The sequence below is a fragment of the Homo sapiens genome, chromosome 12 (genome assembly GCF_000001405.40).
Source record: "Homo sapiens chromosome 12, GRCh38.p14 Primary Assembly".
NCBI classification, from domain to species: domain Eukaryota; kingdom Metazoa; phylum Chordata; class Mammalia; order Primates; family Hominidae; genus Homo; species Homo sapiens.
Window position 1 is genome coordinate 77261607 of NC_000012.12, and position 27704 is coordinate 77289310.

At 38.1% G+C, this 27704-nt stretch overlaps 1 long non-coding RNA gene across 6 annotated transcripts in view; it reads right to left on the reverse strand.

The window, feature by feature from the left end:
- LINC02464 (long intergenic non-protein coding RNA 2464) overlaps positions 1–27704 on the reverse strand; it is a 97632-nt gene that overhangs the window by 42004 nt on the left and 27924 nt on the right. Inside the window, exons 3-4 of one of the 6 annotated variants that reach the window (NR_187546.1) lie at positions 19718–19794; positions 12196–12465 (exon numbers count right to left, since the gene is read on the reverse strand). The exons of 4 other annotated variants lie outside the window; for them this stretch is intronic. This is a non-coding gene — a long non-coding RNA (long intergenic non-protein coding RNA 2464). The remainder of the gene's footprint in view (positions 1–12195; positions 12466–19717; positions 19795–27704) is intronic. One more of the 6 variants, NR_187545.1, reaches the window with a different exon arrangement.

Genomic DNA, 27704 nt, shown 5'->3' on the forward strand with positions numbered 1-27704 from the left:
CTGTGAATCCGTCTGGTCCTGGACTTCTTTTGGTTGGTAAGCTGTTAATTATTGCCTCAAATTCAGAGCCTGTTATTCGTCCACTCAGGGATTCAACTTCTTCCTGGTTTAGTCTTGGGAGGGTGTATGTGTTGAGGAATTTATCCATTTCTTCTAGATTTTCTAGTTTATTTGTGTAGAGGTGTTTGTAGTATTCTCTGATGGTAGTTTGTATTTCTGTGGGACTGGTGGTGATATCCCCTTTATCATTTTTTATTGCATCTATTTGATTCTTCTCTCTTTTCTTCTTTATTAATCTTTCTAGCGGTCTATCAATTTTGTTGATCTTTTCAAAAAATCAGCTCCTGGATTCATTGATGTTTTGAAGGGTTTTTTGTGTCTCTATCTCCTTCAGTTCTGCTCTGATCTTAGTTATTTCTTGCCTTCTGCTAGCTTTTGAATGTGTTTGCTCTTGCTTTTCTAGTACTTTTAATTGTGATGTTAGGGTGTCAATTTTAGATCTTTCCTGCTTTCTCTTGTGGGCATTTAGTGCTATAAATTTCCCTCTGCACGCTGCTTTAAATGTGTCCCAGAGATCTTGTATGTTGTGTCTTTGTTCTTGTTGGTTTCAAAGGACATCTTTATTTCTGCCTTCATTTCATTATGTACCCAGTAGTCATTCAGGAGCAGGTTTTTCAGTTTCCATATAGTTGAGTGGTTTTGAGTGAGTTTCTTAATCCTGAGTTCTAATTTGATTGCACTGTGGTCTGAGAGACAGTTTGTTATAATTTCTGTTCTTTTACATTTGCTGAGGAGTGCTTTACTTCTAACTATGTGGTCAGTTTTGGAATAGGTGTGGTGTGGTGCTGAGAAGAATGTATATTCTGTTGATTTGGGGTGGAGAGTTCTGTAGATGTCTATTATGTCTGCTTGGTGCAGAGCTGAATTCAATTCCTGGATATCCTTGTTAACTTTCTGTCTCGTTGATCTGTCTAATGTTGACAGTGGGGTGTTAAATTCTCCCATTATTATTGTGTGGGAGTCTAAGTCTCTTTGTAGGTCTCTAAGAACTTGCTTTATGAATCTGGGTGCTCCTGTATTGGGTGCATATATATTTAGGATAGTCAGCTCTTCTTGTTGAATTGGTCCCTTTACCATTACGTAATGGCCTTCTTTGTCTCTTTTGATCTTTGTTGGTTTAAAGTCTGTTTTATCAGAGACTAGGATTGCAACCCTTGCCTTTTTTTGTTTTCCATTTGCTTGGTAGATCTTCCTACCTCCCTTTATTTGGAGCCTATGTGTGTCTCTGCATGTGAGATGGGTTTCCTGAATACAGCACACTGATGGGTCTTGACTCTTTATCCAATCTGCCAGTCTGTATCTTTTAATTGGAGCATTTAGCCCATTTACATTTAAGGTTAATATTGTTATGTGTGAATTTGATCTTGTCATTATGATGTTAGCTGGTTATTTTGCTCATTAGTTAATGCAGTTTTTTCCTAGCCTTGATGGTCTTTACATTTTGGCATGTTTTTGCAGTGGCTGGTACTGGTTGCTCCTTTCCATGTTTAGTGCTTCCTTCAGGAGCTCTTGTAAGGCAGGCCTGGTGGTGACAAAATCTCTCAGCATTTGCTTGTCTTTAAAGTATTTTATTTCTTCTTCACTTATGAAGCTTAGTTTGGCTGGATATGAAATTCTGGGTTGAAAATTCTTTTCTTTAAGAATGTTGAATATTGGCCCCCACTGTCTTCTGGCTTGTAGAGTTTCTGCCAAGAGATCAGCTGTTAGTCTGATGGGCTTCCCTTTGTGGGTAACCCCTCCTTTCTCTCTGGCTGTCCTTAACATTTTTTCCTTCATTTCAACTTTGGTGAATCTGACAATTATGTATCTTGGAGTTGCTCTTCTTGAGGAGTATCTTTGTGGCATTCTCTGTATTTCCTGAATTTGAATGTTGGCCTGCCTTGCTAGATTGGGGAAGTTCTCCTGGATCCTGCAGAGTGTTTTCCAACTTGGTTCCATTCTCCCCGTCACTTTCAGGTACACCAATAGATGTAGATTTGGTCTTTTCACATAGTCCCATATTTCTTGGAGGTTTTGTGCATTTCTTTTTATTCTTTTTTCTCTAAACTTCTCTTCTTGCTTCATTTCATTCATTTGATCTTCAATCGCTGATACCCTTTCTTCCAGTTGATCAAATCGGCTACTAAAGCTTGTACATTCGTCACGTAGTTCTCATGCCATGTTTTTCAGCTCCATCAGGTCCTTTAAGGACTTCCCTGCATTGGTTATTCTAGTTAGCCATTCGTCTAATCTTTTTTCAAGGTTTTTAACTTCTTTGCGATGGGTTCGAACTTCCTCCTTTAGCTCGGAGAAATTTGACCGTCTGAAGCCTTCTTCTCTCAACTTGTCAAAGTCATTCTCCGTCCAGCTTTGTTATGTTGCTGGTGAGGAGCTGCATTCCTTTGGAGGAGGAGAGGTGCTCTGATTTTTAGAATTTTCAGTTTTTCTGTTCTATTTTTGCCCCATCTTTGTGGTTTTATCTACCTTTGGTCTTTGATGATGGTGACGTACAGATGGGGTTTTGGTGTGGATGTCCTTTCTGTTTGTTAGTTTTCCTTCTTACAGTCAGGACCCTCACCTGCAGGTCTGTTGGAGTTTGCTGGAGGTCCACTCCAGACCCTGTTTGCCTGGGTACCAACAGCGGAGGCTGCAGAACAGCGAATATTGCTGAACAGCAAATGTTGCTGTCTGATCGTTCCTCTGGAGATTTCGTCCCAGAGGGGTACCCGGCCGTGTGAGGTGTCAGTCTGCCCCTACTCGGGGGTGCCTCCCAGATAGGCTACTCGGGGGTCAGGGACCCACTTGAGGAGGCAATCTGTCCGTTCTCAGATCTCAAACTCCATGCTGGGAGAACCACTACTCTCTTCAAAGCTCAGCTGGAAATGCAGAAATCACCTGTCTTCTGTGTCACTCATGCTGGGAGCTGTAGACTGGAGCTGTTCCTATTCAGCCATCTTGGAACCACTGGGTATATTTTCAATAGCACCCACTCCTGGTACCAATTTACACTATTAGCCCATTTGCACACTGCTGATAAAGTCATACCTGAGACTGGGCAATTTACAAAAGAAAGAGGTTTAATGGACGTTCAGTTCCATGTGGCTGGGGAAGACTCACAATTATGGTGAACCTCAAGGAGGAGCAAGTCACATCTTATGCGGATGGCAGCATGCGAAGAGAGAGAGCTTGTGCAAGGAAACTCTCCCTTATAAAATCATCAGATCTTGTGAGACTTATTCACTGTCATGAGAGCAGCATGAGAAAGACCTGCCCCATGATTCAATTACCTCCCACTGGGTCCCTCTCAGAGCACATGGGAATTCAAGATGAGATTTGGGTGGGGACACAGCCAAACCATATCAATCACCACATGCAATTGTGCAGGTCATACATACTCTGCTTAATTTTAAGGCTGCCATTCATGCAAATTATGTGGAAAGCCTCACAACTGCACTCAGTGGCTATGAGACAGAGCTATGTAGATATCAAGAAGGGCATTCTAGGCAAAACTACATTATGTACAAGGATGTTGAGTCTGAAGTGCACCCTGGCATGTCCAATCACAGAGTAAGTGTGAGGGAGAGTAGTAAATGAGACTGGAGAATTAAGTAAGGGTCAACTTTATAGAGTCTTATGACCACTGTAGGACTTTTGACTTCTACTCTGAGATGGGAAACAATTTTAAGATGTGGAAAAGGCAACTGACAACATCTGACTTACATTTTCAAAGGGGTTCTCAGAGTCTAGATAGATTTTGAAGGTGTGTAGGACCAACAGGGTTTGCTAATGAATTACATATGGTGAGTAAGTGAAAAAAAGCCAAGGATGTTTCCAAGGTTGGGGACCTAAGCAATTGTTCTCACTCCTCTGTTTCTTTGTTTATATAGCCTATAGTTTAAAACCCAAATGGTCCTTATAAAAATTGTTGATAACATGTATTTTTAAAAAGTATTATCATTGATATTTAGACTCAGTTTTGTAACCAAATCTATTATTATGTATACATGTCACAGTTTAACTGGTTTAGTTCTCATCTGCTTTATTACTATTCTTGGGTTCATGTTTTGAACTATCTTTTGATTCCCAGGACTATTACCACATCTGACCTCTGCCCACAGCTTTCTACTCTGTAGTTTCATATTTGCAATTTCCATTTCGATATGGGATATGATGTGTAGGCAACACAAGCAAGAACAATGACTTTTTTTCCCCCCAATATCTATCCATATGATAGAGAATGGGTATGACAGAAAGATGACTACTTAGTTTTCTGCATGCAGAAAAACTTTGTATTTCTGAACCAGGGGAAAGATAGAAGATGGAAAAGCATCACATACCTACTTACAGGAAGGCAGGTCTGCCCTTTTCTAGGGGTGCAACTTGGGTAGGCCACTGATTTGGTCTTTCAATCTGGTTCCATTGACTTTGTGGAAAATATATTTCCCTGATTCTGGAAGCAGAGTGATTATTTGGTCTTGTTTTCAGTGTTTCTGTTTATTTTTCTCTTGCTCTAAACCTTCATATATTTTAGGGGGCGCTCATGCAATGTATGTGTCAGGGATAATTTGTTAGGCATTATTTTAAGCAACATACAGTGCCTTTAAATTTCCCATTACTAGATTAACAAGTTGCCTTGATTGGAGAAGACGTCAACTGAGAATAAGTTAACGTACAAAGGGAATATATTTCCATTGGATCAGCAGCGTTCTGACTTTTAATAACATTTTAAAAGGGCACCATTGCCCTCACATAGAATTACCACATGGAACATTTGTGAAAAATGACGTCTTGTGTGACATCATATGTAACATCCCACTCTTTTCTCTCATATAGACTTTCGATTTGTGTTTCTCTTGAGTAGAATTTTAAAACAAAATCCCTCGCATATATTCTTTTATTTATTCATTTATTTATTATTATTATACTTTAAGTTTTACGGTACATGTGCACAATGTGCAGGTTAGTTACATATGTATACATGTGCCATGCTTGTGCGCTGCACCCACTAACTCATCATCTAGCATTAGGTATATCTCCCAATGCTATCCCTCCCCCCTCCCCCCACCCCACAACAGTCCCCAGAGTGTGATGTTCCCCTTCCTGTGTCCATGTGTTCTCATTGTTCAGTTCCCACCTATGAGTGAGAAAATGCGGTGTTTGATTTTTTGTTCTTGCGATAGTTTACTGAGAATGATGATTTCCAATTTCATCCATGTCCCTACAAAGGACATGAACTCATCATTTTTTATGGCTTCATAGTATTCCATGGTGTATATGGGCCACATTTTCTTAATCCAGTCATTTTGAAATCTAATGGAAGAATATTGTTTTCATCTGGACCAGAAAGTAAAGAAGCTTATCTAGAAATGTAGGATGCAACATTCGAACTGTGATGATGTGGTTTTGGGTAGTGCCTTGCTCTGCCTTGGTTGCTTTGTGCATCGTCATGTTGAGGTATATTTGTGGAAACTGCTGGTATCTGTGTTCATGTGCACTTCAGTGGAACACCAAGATGTATTGCCTCTGTGAACTTCCTAGAATAGCAGCTCTAAGAATGCAGCTTTTATAGTATATATAGGAATGGCCAATTCCTATATATTTTTGTATGTATTTTTTCTATATTATATATAGAAAATATATATTATATACAAAATATATATTATATTATATAATATAATATATTATATATATATTATATTATATAATATATATATAATATATATAATATATTATATATATAATATATTATATTATATATATAATATAATATATATATTATATATTATATAATATAATATATAATATATTATATATAAAATATATGTATGTGTATATATATCCACATATATAGTTATATATTATATATAACATATATATTATATATAACATATGTGTATGTGTATATGTATGTGTATATATGTATAAGTATGTATGTATGTGTATATATAACATATATGTATGTGTATAGATATAACATATATATGTATGTGTATAGATATAACATATATATGTATATGTGTGTGTGTATATATATATGTATGTATTCTGGTATAAGTCCTTATAGGCAAAATAATATTGTCTCTTTTTAAATGTTGGACAAGGCTAGTGCCAGCCCATCAGGAAGGCCTAAAGCCTAGCCATCTGTTAACAGAAGGAAAGAAGTGCTACCAACTGAAGAGAAATGGCCTTGCACTGAAGGGAGTTTTCCTTAGGATATTCTAGTCATCATTTGTGAGTTTTGCTTCATTGAACAATAAAAACAAAAGCTGTTTTATGTTTCATGTCCTGCTTAATCATGGCTTCAGAATTCTACAATGAAGAATTTCTTTTATGGGTGATGGTGGGTTGTCAATATTCTACTGAATGATATTTTAATATAATTTAAACTTAATAGGGTTATGGAATTTGCAGATGTATACCTAGCATTGTTATTCCCAGATAACTTTGATAAAATATCTTAATATCTTATGGAAAGAATAAATAGTCCATGGTAGAAATAGAGAAAGTGATGAAGACAACTTACTGGTATTTCTTTGTTCTTCTCCAGGAAGGGCCATATGGGGTAACTTCTGGATGTTGCCATGGCATTTGTAAACAGTCGTGCTGGTGGGAGTGTCTTTTAGCATGCTAATGCATAGTAATTAGTGTATAATGAGCAGTGAGGATGAACAGAGGTCACCTTCATTGCCTTCTTGGTTTTGGTGAGTTTGGCTGACTTCTTTACTGCATCCTGTTTTATCAGCAAGGTCTTTGTGACCTGCATCTTGTGCTGATCTCCTGTCTCATCTTGTGACTAAAAATGCCTAATCTACTGGGAATGCAGCCCAGCAGTTCTCAGCCTTATTTTACCCAGCCCTTATTCAAGATGGAGTCGCTCTTGTTCAAATACCTCTGATAATGTGACATGCCTGTTCCTGCTTTGCCTTCTGTTATTAGTAAAAGCTCCCTGAGGCCTCACCAGATGCTGAACAGATGTTGACGTCATGCTCCCTGTACAGCCTGCAGAACCATGAGCCAATTAAATGCCTTTCTTTATAGATTACCCAGCCTCAGGTATTCCTTTATAGCAATGCAAATGGACTAATAAAGGGCCTCTTCTGTGTATTGCAAGAAATTAAAAGAAAGAAACAAATTTTAATACAGTAGGGGAAATGACATGTTCTGTCCAAACCATGGTAGAAAACAATCAGAATCAATTTGTCTTGTCATTCCTGTCTAGTTGCTAAAGAGATTATTCTATTTTGTTGGTGGGGATTGGGGAGAGCTAATATTTTATAGTCTTTCTGTAGAATATGATTAATTTTCTTAAAAAAAACCCCAAAAACTTAAGAGCTAGTGTTAAAAAATCTATAAATTACTTTTCTTTTTATTGTGTACTATAAGCAACTATGCATAATCTCCCACAAATGTCTTTTAACTTCTGTAATATTTAATATATTAAGAAGTTATTTAATTTCAATATTATACTTTAAATTTTTAAAACCTAATAAATAACTCGACTAAGAAAAAAAGCATGTGCCATTGGACACAGTGTGGCTTATTCTATTGTCAATATTAATTGGAAGGGTTGTGGGAATGGTCAAATTAGACCAGATTTTTCAAAATAACAGAAACTATAAGAATAAATCATATTTACCTTTGGGAAGTATTGAGGTAAATGCTTAGAAAAACAAGGCCGTTTATTTCGTTATTCTTCGTTCTGAGTCTCTGTTGGTGCTTTTCCTGGCTGTCATGCCCTAGTAACCTACTGAGGTCTCAGGTGGGGAAGCCACAGTTGGCCAGCTGTTCTAAATAATCTGCAGAATTCATTATCTATCTGTGAACAGTGTTGAAGACTATAAGTATAGCCTTCTTTTAGAAAAACCTGTGCTACAAAGACTGAAACTCACAAGGCAATCTCACAGATCATTATTCACGCAATAGAGAACTTTTTTTTTTTTTTGGTTTACAAAAGGAATTACCCTGAGATCTCTGCAAAAATCAATATCCATGTGCACCAAAACACAAATTGACTACCACAATTTATTTTGACACAATTTTCAGGAAGACTCATTGAGAAAGTAAGTACATTGAATTCTTTCTAGGGATTTTTAGAAAGGAATTTTTATTGTAATTGAAGAAATTCTCAAAATTGTTATTTCTGATAATTTTTTTTTTGCCATTCAGATCTTGGGCAGGAGTTTTAAGTCCAGATATTAAATATTAATGTACATTTCTCTGTTGAGTTGCTTCCATTACCAACAAAGGATGGATTTTTCTTCTGGAAAGTGATCGTTACAGCTTTTTAGTGGAATGCTTTACTGGTTTATAATATGAAAAGGAATCTTTGAATATTGGGTAGCTATTCTTATAAATGTTACTTAAGAAGATAGGGGATTTTCATATCTAAAACCTTAATATTGATGTCAATGGGGTACACACATGGGAATGTGAGCTATAGAATTGGGTCTTTTATTAGCAGTTACCTGATTGGAATACTTTCTATAGCCAGGTTTAAATCTCTTTTAAAGCAAAGGAAGATGATTGCCTTAAGAAGCTAAGTCAGTCAAGCTCAATAGGAGACTGTTTGCTGCACAAATAAATGCTAATGCTGTGGAATGTTATTTGTGGCAGTCTACTCCTAAATACCTTAACTTTCTCTTTTGCTATTCCAAATGCTCAATTAAATTCTTCAGTTTTTTTTTTTCTTGTGGAGAATAACTTGAACATACAATTAGTTCCATCTGAAGCAAGACTATATTAACCTGTTATTTCTAGGCTGCATTTGTGTATTTTATATACTAGCTTTAAAATGATTCAATAATGAATTTTCAAATCATGACAAAGTAATTCTATTAATGCACTGAGATATGTGGTTGAATGAATGCCAATTTTTAAGGCAGTATTACATTATAATGGTTTCCAATTAAGATTTTCCTTACTATAAATTTTTTATAGCACTTTTTTCTGAATCTATTTTCATAGTTTATGCTACTGTAGCAGGACAAGCCACAGACAAAACCCCTCAGACACCGAGTTAAAGAAGGAAGGGCTTTATTGGGCCGGGAGCTTTGGCAAGACTCATGTCTCCAACAACCAAGCTCCCTGAGTGAGCAATTCCTGTCCCTTTTAAGGGCTCACAACTCTAAGGGGGTCCACGTGAGAGGGTCATGATCGATTGAGCAACCGGGGGTACGTGACTGGGGGCTGCATGCACAGGTAATTAGAATGGAACAGAACAGGACAGGGATTTTCCCAGTGCTTTTCTATACAATGTCTGTAATCTATAGATAACATAACTGATTAGGTCAGGGATCCATCTTTAACTACCAGGCCCAGGGTGTGGCGCTGGGCTGTCTGCTTGTGGATTTCATTTCTGCCTTTTAGTTTTCACTTCTTATTTCTTTGGAGGCAGAAACTGGACATAAGACAATATGAGGGGTGGTCTCCTCCCTTACTGCTACTGAGAAACCACACTAAATAGAAACAAAAATGGATTTCAAATAAGACCCAGGAGTAGGACTATGCTCATTAGAGATATAAGAAGATAGCACAAATGTATATCTTTTCTTATAAAGCCAGTGACAAGGAATTTGAATTTTATTGTGCTTTTATTTTATAAATTAAAGGACATTATTATTTGGATAGTGCTTTGGAAAACATGACTTTATTTTGAAATGTTTTTTTTTTCTACAAAATGTTGAGTTAGCAGGTTTATGTGGCAATAGAGAAACAGAAAAATAATGCAATGAAGAGCCAGCTATCATTGAAAAAACTCTCCTTTTGAAAGCTTATAGTGGAAAATATGAGACAGTGATGCAAACGTTTTCTGTACATACTAAATTTATTATAGAAATTATACATTATCATTTTATGAAATTAAAATCTAATCTTGAATTTGACGTCAAGGAGGGGAAGTTTGAATTGGAACACTATGCCCACTCTGTTTAGTAAGACTGAGGAACTTGATTCCTTTAGCCTCTGATGAAGGAAATTCAGTGCTTTATAGAGGAATTTAATGCTCAATGCAACCATGAAATTCTTACATATATATATATATATATACAAAGCAAAACTTCTCTTTATAGTTTAGCTATGAAACTTAAATTTATGACAGCAATGTATACAATTGTACATATTTTATTATTTAAAGCAAAAATACCTATTGGTTAAGATTAAAAGAATCTTCAGAGAGAAGTGCGATGTGTGGACTTTGTTTGGATCCTAACAACCACATCTAAAAGGACAGTTCTGAGATAACTAGGGAAGCTGAATGTGGATTAGAATGTTGACAATATTAAAAAGATTTTTGAAAGTTTGTTGGGCATAATAATGTTGCAGGACTTTTCCTTAGTTCAGCTAAAGACGAGGTCCTTTTCCGTCCCACGACCATGAAAATTTAGGCTTGCAGATGGGTTGAAGGGTGAGTAAGACAGGGTTTTATTGGGTGAAAAGGGAAAAAAAGGTGAAACAGCGATCCTCCGCAAAGCCAGAGTCCCTGGTAGAACGCTCCTGCCCACAGCTTGAATTCCAGGTTTCACACAGGAAGAGGAGTGGGGGCCAGGCTCCTCCCCACGGCAAAGGGCGCAAACTTTCTTAGGCTCCACCGCAGTGCGCATTCTCAAGGCACTGGCCAGTTGGAGTTTTTCTGGGGACCCCCTCCTACCTGGCTGTCTCAATAATAGAATTGTGTTTAGTTTTTCTTTAATTTTCTTTTATCTGTTAGAGATAATTTGCCAGAGTATTTCTAGGAGAAATAATATGGATTTCAAATAATATAGCATTTTCTTTAAAATACTCCAGGAATAAACTTGAAGGGGGTTGGTAAAACAAGAACAGCAGAAAGTTGATTGTCAAAGCTGAACAAAAATGTATAAAATCTTTCATAATAAAAAGTTGAAAAAAGTAAAGTATTTATATCAGAATATATTCATTCAAGGGAGTATTATCATTAAGAGTAGTCACCTTGGAAGGGTTTATGCTTATTATGTATGATTCCAATAGTAATAGTGTTAAAGTAGCTCTGAAACACATCTTTCGGAATTGCACTCATAACAGTGGAATTCTCAGGATTTGAGCCACATGGCTTATGTTGGTGTCTGGGTTTCAGAAGGAGCAAGGTAGTGTAGTCTTTGTCAGTAAACACAGTGCATTCAAAGACAAGAGAAAAATTTAAAGTCAGAGTTTATTTGGAAAAGTAGTAGTTCAAACATTGGGAAAATCATTGCTAACACCTGGTTCAAAGACTCAGAGGTAGAATCAAATGCTGGATTCAAGATCTACGAGTCTGGAGTAGAATGAAGATGAGATGGAGTTGAGAAATACTGTTAAACAAGCTGAGGGCAGAGGAGTATGATTAGAGAAGAGCTATGACCATTGGTAGGTGTCCATTGCTCCCCTAGGTGGGCGGGTGGGTGGGCAAGAGTATAGGCAAAAAGCCCACATGGGAAAATCAGGCACCTTATCTTAGAAGTGCACCTCAGCGTGGAGCCTAGATTTGATCACCCAGTTTGGTCATCTACTTTTAGTCATTGAACTCAGCTCTGAATGACTTTTGTCTATATTTACAAATGAGATCTACCCTGAAGAAATGCCACTCTGGACAATATTAAAAAAAAAAATATGCCACAGGTTCTAAAGGTCATTCCAAAGTAAGAATTTGCAAAAGACTAGCCAATAGAGTCCTTGAAATAAACATGTGGCTCCCTTTCTTAAAGAAGGCAAAACTTGTTTATATAATGTAAACATTCATTATGGTTGTTAAAAATTCAGCCATATTACTTTGTGATTATAGCTCAAAACTGCTATTGCTTTGTACTTTCTAACTTAAAGATGACAAGATTAAGTAGTATAACTAAATTATAATAATTCAGAGAAAAGGGAAGGGTGTATATTTGTGTTTGTTCATATATTTGTTTGTGTATATGTGTGTGTGTGACAGAGAAAGTGATAGATAGAGAGATAGAGAAAAAATGAGAGACATTTATTTCTACCTCTGAGCAGCTGCCAGTTCTACCTTCCTACCTCCTACTTTAATGTAATCTATCTTGGATCTTATAACAATTGACTCGGTCATTGATTCATGTGAGAAGCAGCACTGATTCCTCTAAAAGGTTGTCTATTTATTCATTAAATGTCACCCACCTTGTCATATACCATAGCATGAGAGCACCTTACCTGACCCTTGGGAACATTGAGATAAATGCAGTCACTTCATTTCCTCCTGCATGGATCCCTCACCACCTCGCCAAACAAAAATGAGGATGTTGTTGATAAATGCAAGGTTGATGCTGACACACGTTCCCACTCACACACAAAGCAGAAAAACAAGGCCCCTCATGATTGCCATCTAGACAGAAATCATTGCAAAGGAGCCCTTGATGCTGCAGGATCCCTCTTCTGTCACCACCCATATGAACTGGAGATTGCTCTGCTAGTGACACTACCCTGGGGAGAGGAGGGAGGAAGACATTTGCAAACATTTCTTCTTTTCTTCTTTGCACATCTCACAGTCATACTGTATACCTGACATCTGACACATGAATGCATTATCAAATCATTAGTCCCCATCAAATATGTGGTGATTGAATCTTCTGTCAGTCAGTGCAATATAGATCCAGAAGAGAAGTAGTTAAGTGGTAATGGATTTGCTCTAGGCATTTCACAACCTATTGGTCCTAATTGGACTGAAAAAGGGTTGCTACAGAAGACTTGAAAATTTAAATAATGCATTTTATAGTTCTCATATATTTTTCCTAAACAAGCCAACATGAACTAGGAAAAAGAAAGATTTCTCAAAGTAATATCAGGTTTGGTTTTTCAAAACATATAGCTGAAGTTTTATTTGTAATTGATGAAGTGGCTTAGCAAATCTTAAAATGGTATTCTGGGCATAGTGCATGCAAGAAGCTTATAGCATGTATTACCTAAAAGATGTAGTTGCAAAAGAAATTTAAACTGATCACTAGAAACACAAAAAATAAATTGTAGAAAAGCACAGATTTCCCAAACAAGGAGCAGGATGTGATCTGAAATCGGCATGGGTCCTGTTGATGTTAAACTTGGAGAAAGAAGAGCAGAGAGGTCATTTATTACACAAGCTTTAATGAGCTCTCTTGCAGCAGCAACGGTGGAGGTACTCTGAAATATCCAGAACCCTCAGATGCAACGTTTGGAGAGACACACAGACATTTGCAATAATCTATAGGAACAGTGGCAAAAGCATTAATTAAAGCTGTTGCAGTTTCTTGCAATCCAATGAGATTGAGATTTCAGCTAGTTGTAGTACAGTAAATGGAGGAAAGAAACCAAAGCTGTTTGTCTCATATGCAGGCCAATTTTGTATGCACAATCAAATTTTATTTCTTATATTCTCTAACAGCTGCTGAAACCCATTGAGGGTTTGGAAGTCATGATACAACATTAGTAAGAAAATTAGAGTGGTGGCAAATCATAAGTTGCTTTCTGAGCAACACAGTAGGAGGTCAGTTAATATTAAATATCCACAGCCTGTGTGCACAGTCACATTTCCTAGGAGAGTCTAAGCAAAATACAGCCTTCGGGGATACACACTTAGTAGTTTTTGCATAACAATAACTAAGATGCTGATGCCAGCTAATGAAATTCTAATACTGAAGAAGGGCCCCCAAGGCTTAGAACAAAGCTCTCTAGGAAAACAAGGATAGACTCCCTGTTTAGAAAGTAAACAGTCAATGTCATGTATTTATTAATTCAACATAAATTTATTGAGGGCTTTTCCTCTGTCAATTTTGGATAGGCCCTGGAGATGTCCTAGTGGGAAAATACAGAGTCTATCCCTTAACCCATAGAGTTTAACGACTAGAGGGAAACAGATTTTAATGAAACATCCACATAAATAAGTGTATATTTGCAAACTGTGAAAATTGCTTTGAAGTAACCGTACCTAGTACTACAAAAGCATGTAACAGAAGAAACTGACCTTAACTGGGGAGGGTAATCAGAGAATATGAGGAGTGACTAGGAATTCTAGAAGGAGAATGCAAGATAACTCTTTTTAGTAGGAAATGTGCAAAAGGTCTTGACCCAAAGAAGCACAGTGCTTTTGAAAACTGTTGAAGAGCATAGAGCAAGGAGTGTGATATGAAATGAGATAAAGATGGAGATGAATACACATAGGCAGACACCAAACCCATGAAGGCCACAAGAATTTTTTATCCCACAAACAATAGGAAACCACTGAAATTTAGGCAGAGGGGTGTCATAAGCCTATTGATGTCATCACTTTGGGTAAAATATTAATATTAAAATATTATTAACAAAATACTAATATGAAGAATGGATTTGAAGAAGGCAAGAAGATTGATATAGCCAGTGGCCCAGGAAAAGAGGACGGCAGGTTGGACAAGGATGGTAATGAAATACTTGGAGAGCCATGAACAATTCATGGAGAGATATTTAGGAAGTAAAATACACCGGTATTAATACAGTTTTAGATATGGAGGAGGGAATAAATAAGAAGGAGGTGTTAAGGACGACTCCTTGATTCTGACTTCCATAAGAAGATGGATAGAGAACCCTGGAAAAGTAACTGGTTTATTACAAGTTCATTTGGGGGCATACATTGAGTTTGGGCTAACTTCGGTGCACATAAATGGAGGTTTTTGACTCCCATTAGACCTAGATCTAAGCCAAGAAGTCTGGGATGAATATACAAATTTTTGTGTCATTAAAATGTGGAAACTGAAGCTATGGGTATACATGAAATCATCAATGGAAAAAGTAGAAAGTGGAAAGAGAGGGCAGATAGGACAAAACCTGGAGGAACTATAATATTTAACACAGTGATTCTCAAAGTATGGTTCCCTGTCCAATAGCATGAGAATTCCCTGGGAATCTATTGGGATTGCAAATAGACCTAAAGCATTATAAACCCAGGGGTGAGGCTCAGCAAACATGCTCAGCAACAGGCCTCCTGATGTTTCTAATGCCACTGGTATCCGGGAGAATAAAGGAGGACATGTTTGTGAAGATTACTGAGACTGAGCCACCTGCTAGATGGTAAAAAGAAAACCAGAAATGTATGGGGTCATTAGGGTAAGGGAAGAGAATAGTTCAAGGAGAAGGTCAAGGTCAGCAGGGTCAAATGGTGGTGGGAGATCAAGTGAAATTGAGACCACTTTTGACTTTAGAGAAAGCTGTTTCGGTCAACGCTTGGTATGAAAACAAACTGGAGTGAGTGGGATAGGAAGAAAGGGAATAATGAATATAAAAAATTCTTTGAAATTTGAATAGGCTAGGAATCTGGAGGAGAAAAGGGGATGCATTTTATGATATTAATGTCATGAACATGTTTAAATGCTGATGGAAAAGAGATGTAAGATTCAGAGGAATATAGAGGAGGCAGATGTAGTCCATTAGTAGCGAGAGTTCTTGGGAAAGTAAAGGGCATGGTCCAAACCCAGACAGAAAGATGCATCTAGATCTACTTCTCTCTTGTAGCTTAAGGCATGAGTGAACAGAGCACTGTTTCATACCATTTTCTCCTGCTTATGCTCCAGCCACATGGACTTTTTTTTTTCTTCTTCCTTTTTTGGGCTCCTTGAACCTGTAACAAATGTGTCCTTCTTTGGGACCTTGGTCTTCCTTTTCCCTCTTGATCTTCCCATGGCTGACTTTAGTCATTTCAGCCATAATTTAAATGCTAGCTTCTCAGAGAGGCTTTCCCTGAGCACCGTATCTTATGTCTCACTCCCTATAACCATCCCTAATCATTGCCTACTGTGTTATCCTATCTTGCATTCCTTATGGCACTTTTCCCTCTCTGAAATTATATTATTTGTTCACTGGTAGGTAACTTGAAGGGAGAGAGCTTTGTCCTGTTTGTGGGTACAGCTGTAGTTTTTAGGATGGTATCTGGAGTATAGGTGGTAAGCAATCTATAAGCAAACATTTGTTGAAGGAAAGAATAAAAGAATGAGTTTAGATACATCTGTACATTTGATACAGGGAGGTAGAGGAGTTTTCTTTGGCTGGATTCTATTTTCTCTCCAAGGAATAAAAGGGAGATCATCTTCTGAGACCAAATTTAGGGGAAATGGGGATGTTAGAAGTTTGTTGATGAGTGGAGAAGGTTTTAACTAGTTCAGAACGTGGTGGGGTGAGCATACCACAGAAATCCAGAAATAATCCCAGGCAGTATTAACAGTCAATTTGAGGATGATAAGCTTGAAATTTGACTGGTACAAATTGCTCTGCGGGGTGACTCTCCCAGTGATATTCAGATAAGTGGATGAAGACATGGGAAAAATGACAATTGGATGACTTAGTGTTGGTATTTTTCTAAGTGGTGTAACAAAAACTCAGGAAGCCCAGGAGACTTTGGAGTACTGGCAGGCATGTTATTGGTGTCCTAGACTTCAGGGCCTGATGAGTTTAAAGGAATAGTTGAACAAAAAACATCAAAGTTGGGAAAGTTGTAATCAAAGAGTTAGATGTCTGAATTGGAGATGTTATAAGAGTCACTTCCATGATACCAAGGATGAATGTGTGGCTGAGGTGGAGATGGAAGAAGTACATCTAGAAATGAAGATCAGTGAATTGGGTTTTTAACTTCTAAAGTGTTTTGAGATCGTGAAATATTTCATAATCCAACCAGAAATTTCAAGTCTTAATACTTAACTAAAAATAAGAACAGATAATAATTAGCTTCCAAATCCCAAACCGTGAGTGTAATTAGTAGGTGTAATCATAATGGTAGCATGTCATTTTTGTGGAGGCCGTAGAATTGCATCTCTGAATTATGAATGATACAATGAAAGCTTATTACTTCATTACACTAATTAAGAATTAGTGATAATTTGGTTACCAGCTAGACTGATACTTTGTTTCATTAGCGAAAGAGTTATAGAGTAAGAAGAAATGTATTTGTATATTGATTCTGTCACTTTTATCTATGTGTATGGCTTCAGGCTAGCTTATTTACTAAGTCTCTTGTTTTTGCATCTGTGAAAAAGAAAATTAAATGTCTTACAGCATTATTGTGAAGATTAAATGAGAACATGTAGGTGAAAGGGTTTGAAAACTATTAATCCTCATTCAGAACAAAGGCCTTATAATCTACAAAAATATACGTGTTAAGGAAATTCATATTATCATAATTTTTAATAAGCAGTCAATAAAATGCTTTTTTACAAGTAATTTTTAAAGTATTATTACAAATAATATATCAAATTACAATCATTCTTAATTACATATTAAAGTAGACCAAAAAGAACTGGCCTATTTGCCAACTGTATATAAAATTAATAAAAACGCATTTATTGAAATTAGTTTAGAATCCCAATTTTCCAGTTCCCAGAGTATACATTTGTTTTGTTATTTTAAAGTATAGCAATTCTAGGACCATGACTCTGTATGTGTGTGTGTGTGTGTGTGTGTGTGTGTGTAGCATACCTGTAACTTCTATAACTTTTTTCTTTTTAGAGCAAAGTACACACCCATAATTATTATTTTCATCTGGATCTCAACTAGTTCAATTGTGGAAGCATCAGTTTCTTATACCAATAATTAAATTGATCAGTACAATTTGTCTATTAAAATCACATACTGTATTTTATTATAGTTTTGTGGTATTTTTATTTGAGGAGACATGCAGTGGCTCAACCTAGTATTTGATGTTGTGAGCAGAAAGAGACAGATGAAAGAGGTAATTTATTTATTTGTATCAAGAAATGGGGACAAACATCATTTTTACAATATGATCAATGAGGCCAGGCGTGGTCGCTCATGCCTGTAATCCTCACACTTTGGGAGGCTGAAGTGGGTGGATTGCTTGAGCCCAGGAGTTGGAGACCAGCCTGGGAAACATGGCTGTATTAGTCTGTTCTCATATTGCTATAAAGAAATACCTGAGACTCAGTAATTTATAAAGAAAAGAGGTGTAATTGGCTCACAGTTCTGCAGGCTGTACATGAGGCATGGCAGCATCTGCTTTTGGGGAGGCCTTAGGGCGCTTTTATTCATGGTGGAAAGCAAAGTGGGAGCAGGTGCCTTACATGGCAGGAGCAGGACAGAGAGAGAAGAGGAGGTGCTACACACATTTAAACAATCAGATCTGATGAGGCCTCATTATCAAGAGAACAGCACCAAGGGGATTGTGAGAAACCATTTATAAGAACTCTGTCCCCGTGATCCAATCACCTCTCCCAGGCCCCACCTCTAATATTGGGGAATTACAATTTGATGGGAGATTTGGGCAGGGACACAGATCCAAACCATATCAATGGCAAAACCCTGTCTCTACAATTAAAAAAAATACAAAAATAGTGGTCATGGTGGTGCACGCCTGTAGCCTCAGCCACTTGGGAGGCTGAAGTGGGAGGATGGCTTAAACCTGAGAGTTGGAGGTTGTAGTGAGCTGTAATCACACCACTGCACTGCAGCCTGGGTGACAGAGCCAGATCCTCTCTCAAAAAGAAACAGCCAGCCAACAAACAAACAAAAAACAAAACCCAGTAGGAACAATGACCATATCTTCAAATCTTCTACTTACTGACTTGACGATACCTGTAGTCAACCCCTCCCATGCTTTTTACCTGGTTGCTCAATGGGAATCTAACTACTCCTGTGGATGAAAAATTATGACTGTATTATCCAGTGTGTATCTAGGCACTGCCTAATGAAGACACCACTTGAAAATTCTATGAATATTTATTTTGATTGCTTACATCTAGGTTGTCTCAAACTATTAAGAGAAGGAAGCTAGGTTCTTTATTTTCCCATCTCAACTCACTGAAGTCCAGGCTCACCTGTCTATCAAGTGAAAATGGTATTTAATTGGTGGCTGCTGAGAACGTTTAACAAAAAGTCACCAATACTATTTCCCATGCTGTGGATGGTTTCTGAGTTTAATTTGCCAGGGCACCAGCAAATATGCATACATTTTCAGTAAATATTTTGTTATTTTACAATTCTTGGAAGGAAATTCTTAATTTATGTTTTTTCCTTCACTTGTTATGGAAAACATTACTCAGGAACAATACAAATCATTGTACCATAGGTAGGAGTAAGGGAAGTAGAATATTTGCAAGTTGCATGTAATAAAGGGGAAACAGGTCAAATACAATATTTGTAACAATGATGCAAGTTTTTTTCCCTTCAAGTTGGATACACAGGAAGAAATGTAATTAAGCAAACGAAGTTTGTGATTAATGTTGCCTCCTGATTAAAAAAAACCAACACAATGATTTGAATTCTTTTATGTTTTTCCATCTTCTGGAAGATCATAAAAGTCAAACCTGGGCCATGTGGCTCACAAAGAAAACATTCTACACACACTGTCTTTCAAGGAAAAAGTCAAAACTTAATTTTTACCAAGAAATGAGGAGAAACCTCTCATTTTTACAATATGATCAATGATCACAAAATAACTCCACATCCTCTATGTTTTTTCCTCCACTTGTTACGGTGCCACCTTTGATTACAGAGACCGGGAAACTCATTTCCTTTCTACCCTTGAGTGGCACTAGCATGGGGGCCTGGGTGTGCCAACATGTTCTTTAGTGTCAGTGACAGGTGGGGACTCCTGACCAGGCAATGAACAGGGATGGATGTTTCAGGGACTAACCAGTCAAAGGGGCTAGTGTCAAGGCAGGGCAAAGGCCAAGAAACAGAAATCCCAAATAATGTCTGGCACTCTGCAGTCCTTGTCATGGCTTACCTCACTCGCTACATCCTCCTCACACTTTGATTTTCAGCCACATGGAGCTTCTTTCATTTACTAGAGCAGTAGTGTATCTAGAAGCAGAAAGAATGTGGTGGGACCAGGGGAGACACACTGTGCGTGAACACATGCTTCAAAAGCAGTGCTGTTTCAGAATGAGAGGTGGGGAAGGAGGTTGAAGACAGGCCCCATATCACCTGGGGGCAGACCCTGACTACACTTACGATTCAAGAGGCCACTCATATACTCATTCTCTCTCTCCCCAATCTGTCTACATGCAGTTCCTTTCCCTGATCTTCTCTTTTCTCTTGGATGACTGTTACTCATACTCTAGCCCTCAGCTTAGACATTACTTTCAATAGGAAGCTTTCCTCCATCTCCCCCAGTCTGGGCTAGGTGCTTCTTTTCTATGTCCACGGCCTCATTCTGTAGCTCAGCATTCATCCCACAGTTTTATAATAGCCTAGTGCCTGGATACTTCTGTAATCCAGATACTCTCTAAGGAAGGACACCCTGGCTGTCCAGTATTTCCTGTGTCTGCCAGACCTCCTGGAATATAATAGTGATGTGACAAATACTTGTTAAATGGATGAATGAATGATGAATGAACTGCAACAACATGCATCCCATCTCCAGTGGATTGGAACTACAGTTCTGTTCTAATGTCACCGTCACATCTGTGTCAATGAAACATCAGAACTGCCATGGAAGAAGGAAGTACATGTGTTTTGTTTTTGGTGTAACCATTAATTAGGAGGCCTTAAAATAAGTCTTAAAAGATTGCACTCAGTTAATTGATTAAAATATCAATATCTATGTAATGACTTTATTATTTATAAAATAGTAGAATGTACATGCATGATGGTATAAGTTAATGTTTATGCAGCTTCCATAACTATTATTTATGGCAGTGAATATAAATCTGAAATGACGAACATTTTTTTTAAAGTCTGAAATAAGTCGCATACCTACAAAGCCATTTGAGGATGGTATGGTAGCTGTCTTACTGCTTTTGTGTGAGAGTAGGTGGGAAGACACATTCTAGAAGTGTTATCACTTAAGACAACACAAGGAAAATTTCTGCTGAGGGTCAAGTTTGAACTTAAATATGATGGGTGAAAATAAACTTTGGTAACACTCAAAAGAGGCTAATTATAATGAATTTGAGCTTCCCTGGGAAATTCCTAACAGGGATTTGACAGTATTAACTTTGAGTGGGGCAAAGGTTTTTATTTTAATAGTTTGTCATACACATAGAATGTGGGAGAAAGGACCATTTTCATATTCTACTATGTCCTCAGCATCTCTTTTGGGAGGAAATTTCTCAATTGTGTTAATTCCACTGTCTAAATAGCTCTTTAATACACACCCCACTTTGTTTCTTCCTACCTACTGCAACTAATTTGAATGGCTTTCCTCTGTATTTTTAACCTATTAGGTTGGTGCAAAAGTAATTATGGTTTTGTGATTAAAAGTATTAAATAATCACAAAAACCAAAATTACTTTTGCACTAACCTAATATTGCTGGGCAGCCCTCTCATGGGCTCTTACTTGATTCTAGTCTCTTCATTCTTAGTAAATTTGCTGCATCCATTAAAGCAATAATCTAAAGCAGGGATTGGAAAATCTCTTTCTGTAAAGGGCAAAATATTAAATATTTTAGACTCGTGATCCATATGATCTATGTTGCAACTATTCAACTACCTGTAGTATTGCACATGCAGCTATAGACAATACATAAATGAATGAACATGGCTGTGTTCCAATAAAACTTTTTTATGGGCACTGAATTTCATGTAATGTTCACATAAATTATTATTATTCTTTTGATTTTTTTTCCAGCCATTTAAAGATGTAAAAATCATCTTGCTCACAGGCTATACAGAAAGAAGAGGTGGAGGTGGGTCAACTTTGGCTTATGGGCCATGGTCTTTTTTTTTTTTTTTTTTTTGAGATGGAGTCTTGCACCGTCGCCCAGGCTGGAGTGCAGTGGTACGATTTTGGCTCACTGCAACCTCTGCCTCCCAGGTTCAAGGGATTCTCCTGCCTCAGCCTTCTGAGTAGCCGGGATTACAGGCACCCGCCAGCACACCCAGCTAATTTTTTGTATTTCTAGTAGAGATGAGGTTTCACCATGTTGGACAGGCTGTTCTCGAACTCCTGACATCGTGATTCGCCCTCTTTGGCCTCTCAAAGTGCTGGTATTACAGACATGAGCCACCGCGCCCGGCCAGGCCATAGTCTTAAGTGTGACTGTGACTTTCTCTTGACACACTTAAGATACTGATTCACCTGCTGTGACAGGTGGCCACTATACATTGGCTTAAACTAGATGGCACTCACAGTGGAGGCCCTGTTCCAATGTCTTCAGTCCCTGTGGATCTCCATTCAGTTTTAAACATCTTGGAAAGAGAGAGTGACTGGCCTAGTTTGAATTGAAGACCACCTTGTAGACAGGATATGGTGGCATATTGTCAATGATACATCCAACAAGGTAGCATGAAGTGGGTGAGAGGCAGTTCCAAGAAGGGGATACCTTTCCACACAAGAAAAAACCAGATATCTGTTACAAAGGTTTGGGGAAGATATGCTAGATAAAAGTTGATATTTGTTTTTGCATAACTGTCCAAGAGTAATTTATGTGTGGAACACGGAACTGAGGATCCAGGAATCTTCAATCTATTTGGTCCCATCCTCAAGGCTTTGCACTCATTTGCATGATCCAGATTGCCTCACCATCACTGTGTTTACATTCCCAGTAGAAGGGGAAGAAGGCAAGGAGATGGCAAGTACCTTCCCTTTAAGAGTATAGCCACAACTTGCATGTATTAATTTTGTTTACTTCCTAGTGGTCAGAATGTGGTCACATGGCCATATCTAGCTATTGAGAGACCCTGGGAAATGTATTCTTTATTCTGCGCATTGATGTGTCCAACTTAAAGTTGCAAATGCTAATGCATAAAAAGAAAGAAAGAAATGGAGGCAGGGACATCTAGCAATATCTGTTCTTATCTCTCTTTAGCATTCTGAGAGAATAATCTGGCTTTACTAATCTAACATCTTTAACCATTCCCGTCCAATTTTCCATCACTTCTCAATTTGAATCTGAGTTCTAGTTTAACATGTGTAGTAGTTCCCAAAGGCAAGACGACTTCTTGCTTTTGCCAAAGCTCCTTTGCTTAGAGTACACTCCCTGCTTCTTTCTATCTGGTAAAATGGATATTCTCTTTCCAAGAGAGTTCACATTCACATGTTGCTTCTTGAAAATTCTTTCCCTAAATTTAAATTTGTGTTGTATTATCCCATGCTGGGATAGAAGCTGCTAAGTGCAGTAGTAAAATCTCAATCTATGTTTGTTGAATGAATAAATGATAGGATGCCTTTACCCATCATTATCCAGATGGATTTTACTGCCTGTCAAGAGTCTGTTGGACTCAGAGAGGAAAAGGAGGCAGGCAGGGAGTGAAGGGGTGGAGGAAGGAAAGATTGGTTAGGGTCCTCTGATTTAAAGAAACAAAATTCAGTCTCAAAAACTTAAACAAAAGAGGGCTTACTAAACACATACTAGGGAGCTCCAAATTAAAGAAACACTCACAAAACAACTGGGTCTGAGGATGAAAAGGAAACAAAGGAGCACAGGAGAGCTTCTCAAGCACACACAATGGATGCCCTGTTCCAATGTCTTCAGTCCCTGTGTGTCTCCATTCAGTTTTAAACACCTTGGGGAGAGAGAGAGGGACTGCCCTAGTTTGAATTAAAGACCACCTTGTAGTTACGATATGGTGGAATATTGTCAGTGATACCTCCAACGAGGTAGCATGGAGTGGGTGAGAGGCAGTTACCCAAAGAAAGGGATACCTTTCCCCACAAGAGAAAAACAGGTGTCTATTACAAAGGTTTGGGGCAGCCATAACATATTTGTGCTCCACCACTGCTCCTTGAAGATGTTTTCTTATTCTGCTGTGGAGGTAGCATGCTAGTCTTGGAACTCTACTCATGGCATGGCGGCTTGAGGTGGTAGGGGCTTTTCCGTCCTGTGGTCTGTCATGGGAGTCTTAGCTTACAGTGTTGACAGGCTCTATCTCTGTGAGTCTTTTCAGGAGTAGAAGAGGAGGACAAGGACGTAGAAAAATTCCTGATGACATTCCAAGTGGAGAAGAGAAAGACAAGAAATGTAGGCTTTTTTTTGTTTTTCAAAGAAAGATGTTTTTCCTGAATCTAGTTCAAAATCATTGATTCACCGTTTTGATTGGTTAATCTCCCCCACAAAAGGAATTAGAGATGAGATTGAAAAACTACCTTGTTTTTATTATTACTGTCATTCCAGAAACCCAAAGCAGAGGGCTTTACTATAAAATTTATATATACCCAAGATAAAAGAAAGAAGATATAGCTTCATCAAAGCTACAGAAATTATGTATCATTAAATATCTTGAACATAAACGTGGTATTAGGGTTGAGACAAAGTAGTATATGTAGGAATATATAGTAAATAACATGAGAGACTAAACTGAAATTAAAAAGATTTGGAGGAGAAAGACCTTTGACAAACACATCCGTAGAATATCTTGAACAATGACAGAACATTGGCAGTAGAAGCTTTGGAGGGAAACAAATTATTCTGAGGGAAAATGTGAGCTGATTCTTAGGAAGTCATACCAGGTGCATTTACCTATGAGGGCTTAGCTGAAACAGCCAGCACAGACACAGGCAAAAGAACTACATGGAGAACAGTTTAAGACACTGAAAAATTGCATAAATGTCATGTGTTGCATCAGGCAGTGTTTAGTGCAAGAAACAAAAATACTCCATGCCTTTTTATTAGGGATCTAGTACATGAAATTTGATGCTTATAAATTATTACAGGGAAAGAAGTGGGTTCTAAGGTGGACCTCCAGGAAAGACTTCCAGAAGAGTTCATAATTTATTTCAGGATCCTACCACCTGTCACATCATGAGGGGTGCTATGAGTTCAGGCATATATCCCAATGATCTATAATAAAGCAAATCTGTAATAAAGCAGCTGAAGCAGACAACTTCCTCTCATCACCTGGGAATCTGGAGAATGGACCCACAGCTGTGATCCAAAGATTAGAAAGTCAGAAGTAAGAAACTGATGCAGTCATCTCTTAGCACCTAGACAGCTGACAAACAAATGCTGGATCACTGCCGATTATTGCTGATACCAGCTCCCATTTCCATGGCACTGTATGCCGACAAGGAAAAACAAAAAAGAAATAGGACAAATTTTTCACCTTAACGTTTTTCTCCCAAATTGTGCATAGGTGCATCCAATTGGCATAATCTAATTTGCATGAAGAATCTTAGATACAAGGGAATCTAAACATTTAGTTTTAAGCTTTCTAGTCCCCCCAACTATAAGAAAGATAGAATGGAGCTTAAGAATGCTAACCTTACCGAGCACCTGGGGAAAGAAGTGGCTGTGGGTGCAGCTTCAGTAGACTTAAACGTTCCTATCTGCCGGCTCTGAAAAGAGCAGTGGATCTCCCAACACAGCGCTTGAGTTCTGCTAAGGGACAGACTGCCTCAAGTGGGTCCCTGATCCCCATGTCTCCTGACAGGGAGACACCTCTCAGCAGGGGTCCACAGACATCTCATACAAGAGAGCTCCAGCTGGCATCTGGCGGGTGCCCCTCTGGGACGAAGCTTCCAGAGGAAGGAGCAGGCAGCAATTTTTGCTGTTTTGCAGCCTCTGCTGGCGATACCCAAGCAGGGTCTGGAGTGGACCCCCAGCAAACTTTAGCAGACCTGCAGAAGAGGGGCCTGTTAGAAGGAAAACCAACAAACAGAAAGCAATAGCATCAACATCAACAAAAAGGATGACCACGCAAAAACTTCATCTGAAGGTCACCAACAGCAATGACCAAAGGTAGATAAATCCACAAAGATGAGGAAAAACTGGGCAAAAAGGCTGAAAATTCCAAAAACCGGAATGCCTCTTCTCCTCCAAAGGATCACAACTCCTCACCAACAAGGGAACAAAACTGGATGGAGAATGAGTTTGATGAATTGACAGAAGGCTTCAGAAAGTGGGTAATAATAAATTCCTTTGAGCTAAAGGAGCATAATCTAACCCAATGCAAGGAAGCTAAGAACCTTGAAAAAAGGTTAGATGAATTGCTAACTAGAATAACCAGTTTAGTAAAGAATATAAATGACCTGATGGAGCTGAAAAACACAGCACGAGAACTTCGTGAAGCATACACAAGTATCAATAGCTGAATCGATCAAGCAGAAGAAAGGATATCAGAGATTGAAGACTAACTTAATGAAATAAAGCGAGAAGACAAGATTAGAGAAAAAAGAATGAAAAGGAACGAGCAAAGCCTCCAAGAAATGTGGGACTGTGTGAAAAGACCAAACCTATGTTTGATTGGTGTACCTGAAAGTGACGGGGAGAATGGAACCAAGTGGGAAAACACACTTCAGGATATTGTCCAGGAGAACTTCCCCAACATAGCAAGACAAACCAACATTCAAATTCAGAAAATACAGTGAACACCACCAAGATACTCCTCGAGAAAAGCAACCCCAAGAAACATTAATTGGCAGATTCATCAAGGTTGAAATGAAGGGAAAAATGTTAAGGGCAGCCAGAGAGAAAAGTCTGGTTACCCACAAAAGAAGCCCATCAGACTATCAACAGATCTCTGCAGAAATCCTGCAAGCCAGAAGAGAGTGGGAACCAATATTCAACATTCTTAAAGAAAAGAATTTTCATACCAGAATTTCATATCCAGCCAAACTAAGCTTCATAAGTGAAGGAGAAATAAAATCCTTTACAGACAAGCAACTGCTGAGAGATTCTATCAGCACCAGGCCTGCCTACAAGAGCTCCCGAAGGAAACACTAAACATGGAAAGGAAAAACCGGTACCAGCTAGTACAAAAAAAATCCAAAATGTAAAGACCATCAACACTATGAAGAAACTGCATCAACTAAAGGGCAAAATAAATAGCTCGCATCATAATGACAGGAGCAAATTCACACATAACGATATTAACCTTAAATATAAATGGGCTAAATGCCCCAATTAAAAGGCACAGACTGGCAAATTGGATAGAGTCCAAGACCCATCTGTGTGCTATATTCAGGAGACCCATCTCATGTGCAAAGACACACATAGGCTCAAAATACAGGGATGGAGGAATATTTACCAAACAAATGGAAAGCAAAAAACCAAAACCAAAACAACAACAAAAAAACAGGGATTGCAATCCTAGTCTCTGAATAAACAGACTTTAAGCCAACAAAGATCAAAAAAAGACAAAGAAGGGCATTACATAATGGTAAAGGGATTAATGCACTAAAAGAGCTAATTATCTTAAATATATATGCACCCAATACAGGAGCACCCAGATTCATAAAGCAAGTTCTTGGAGACCTCCAAAGAGACTTAGACTCCCACACAATAATAGTGGGAAATCTTAGCACCCCACTCTCTATATTAGACACTGTCAATATTAGACAGATCAACAAGACATAAACTTAACAAGGACTTGAACTTAGCTCTGGACCAAGCAGACCTAATAGACATCTACAGAACTCTCTATGCCAAATCAACAGAATATACATTCTTCTGAGCACGACATAGCACTTATTCTAAAATCAATCACATAATTGGAAGTAAAACACTCCTCAGCAAATTCAAAACAACAGAAATTGTAACAGTCTCTCAGACCACAGTGCAATCAAATTAGAACTCAAGATTAAGAAACTCACTCAAAAACACACAACTACATGGAAACTGAACAATCTGCTTCTGAATGACTACTCGGTAAATAATGAAATTAAGGCAGAAATAGCAAAGTTCTTTGAAACCAAGGAGAATGAAGACACAACGTACCAGAATCTCTGGGACACAGCTGAAGCAGTGTTAAGAGGCAAATTTACAGCACTAAATGCCCACAGAAGAAAGCAGGAAGGATCTAAAATTGACACCCTAACATCACCATGAAAAGA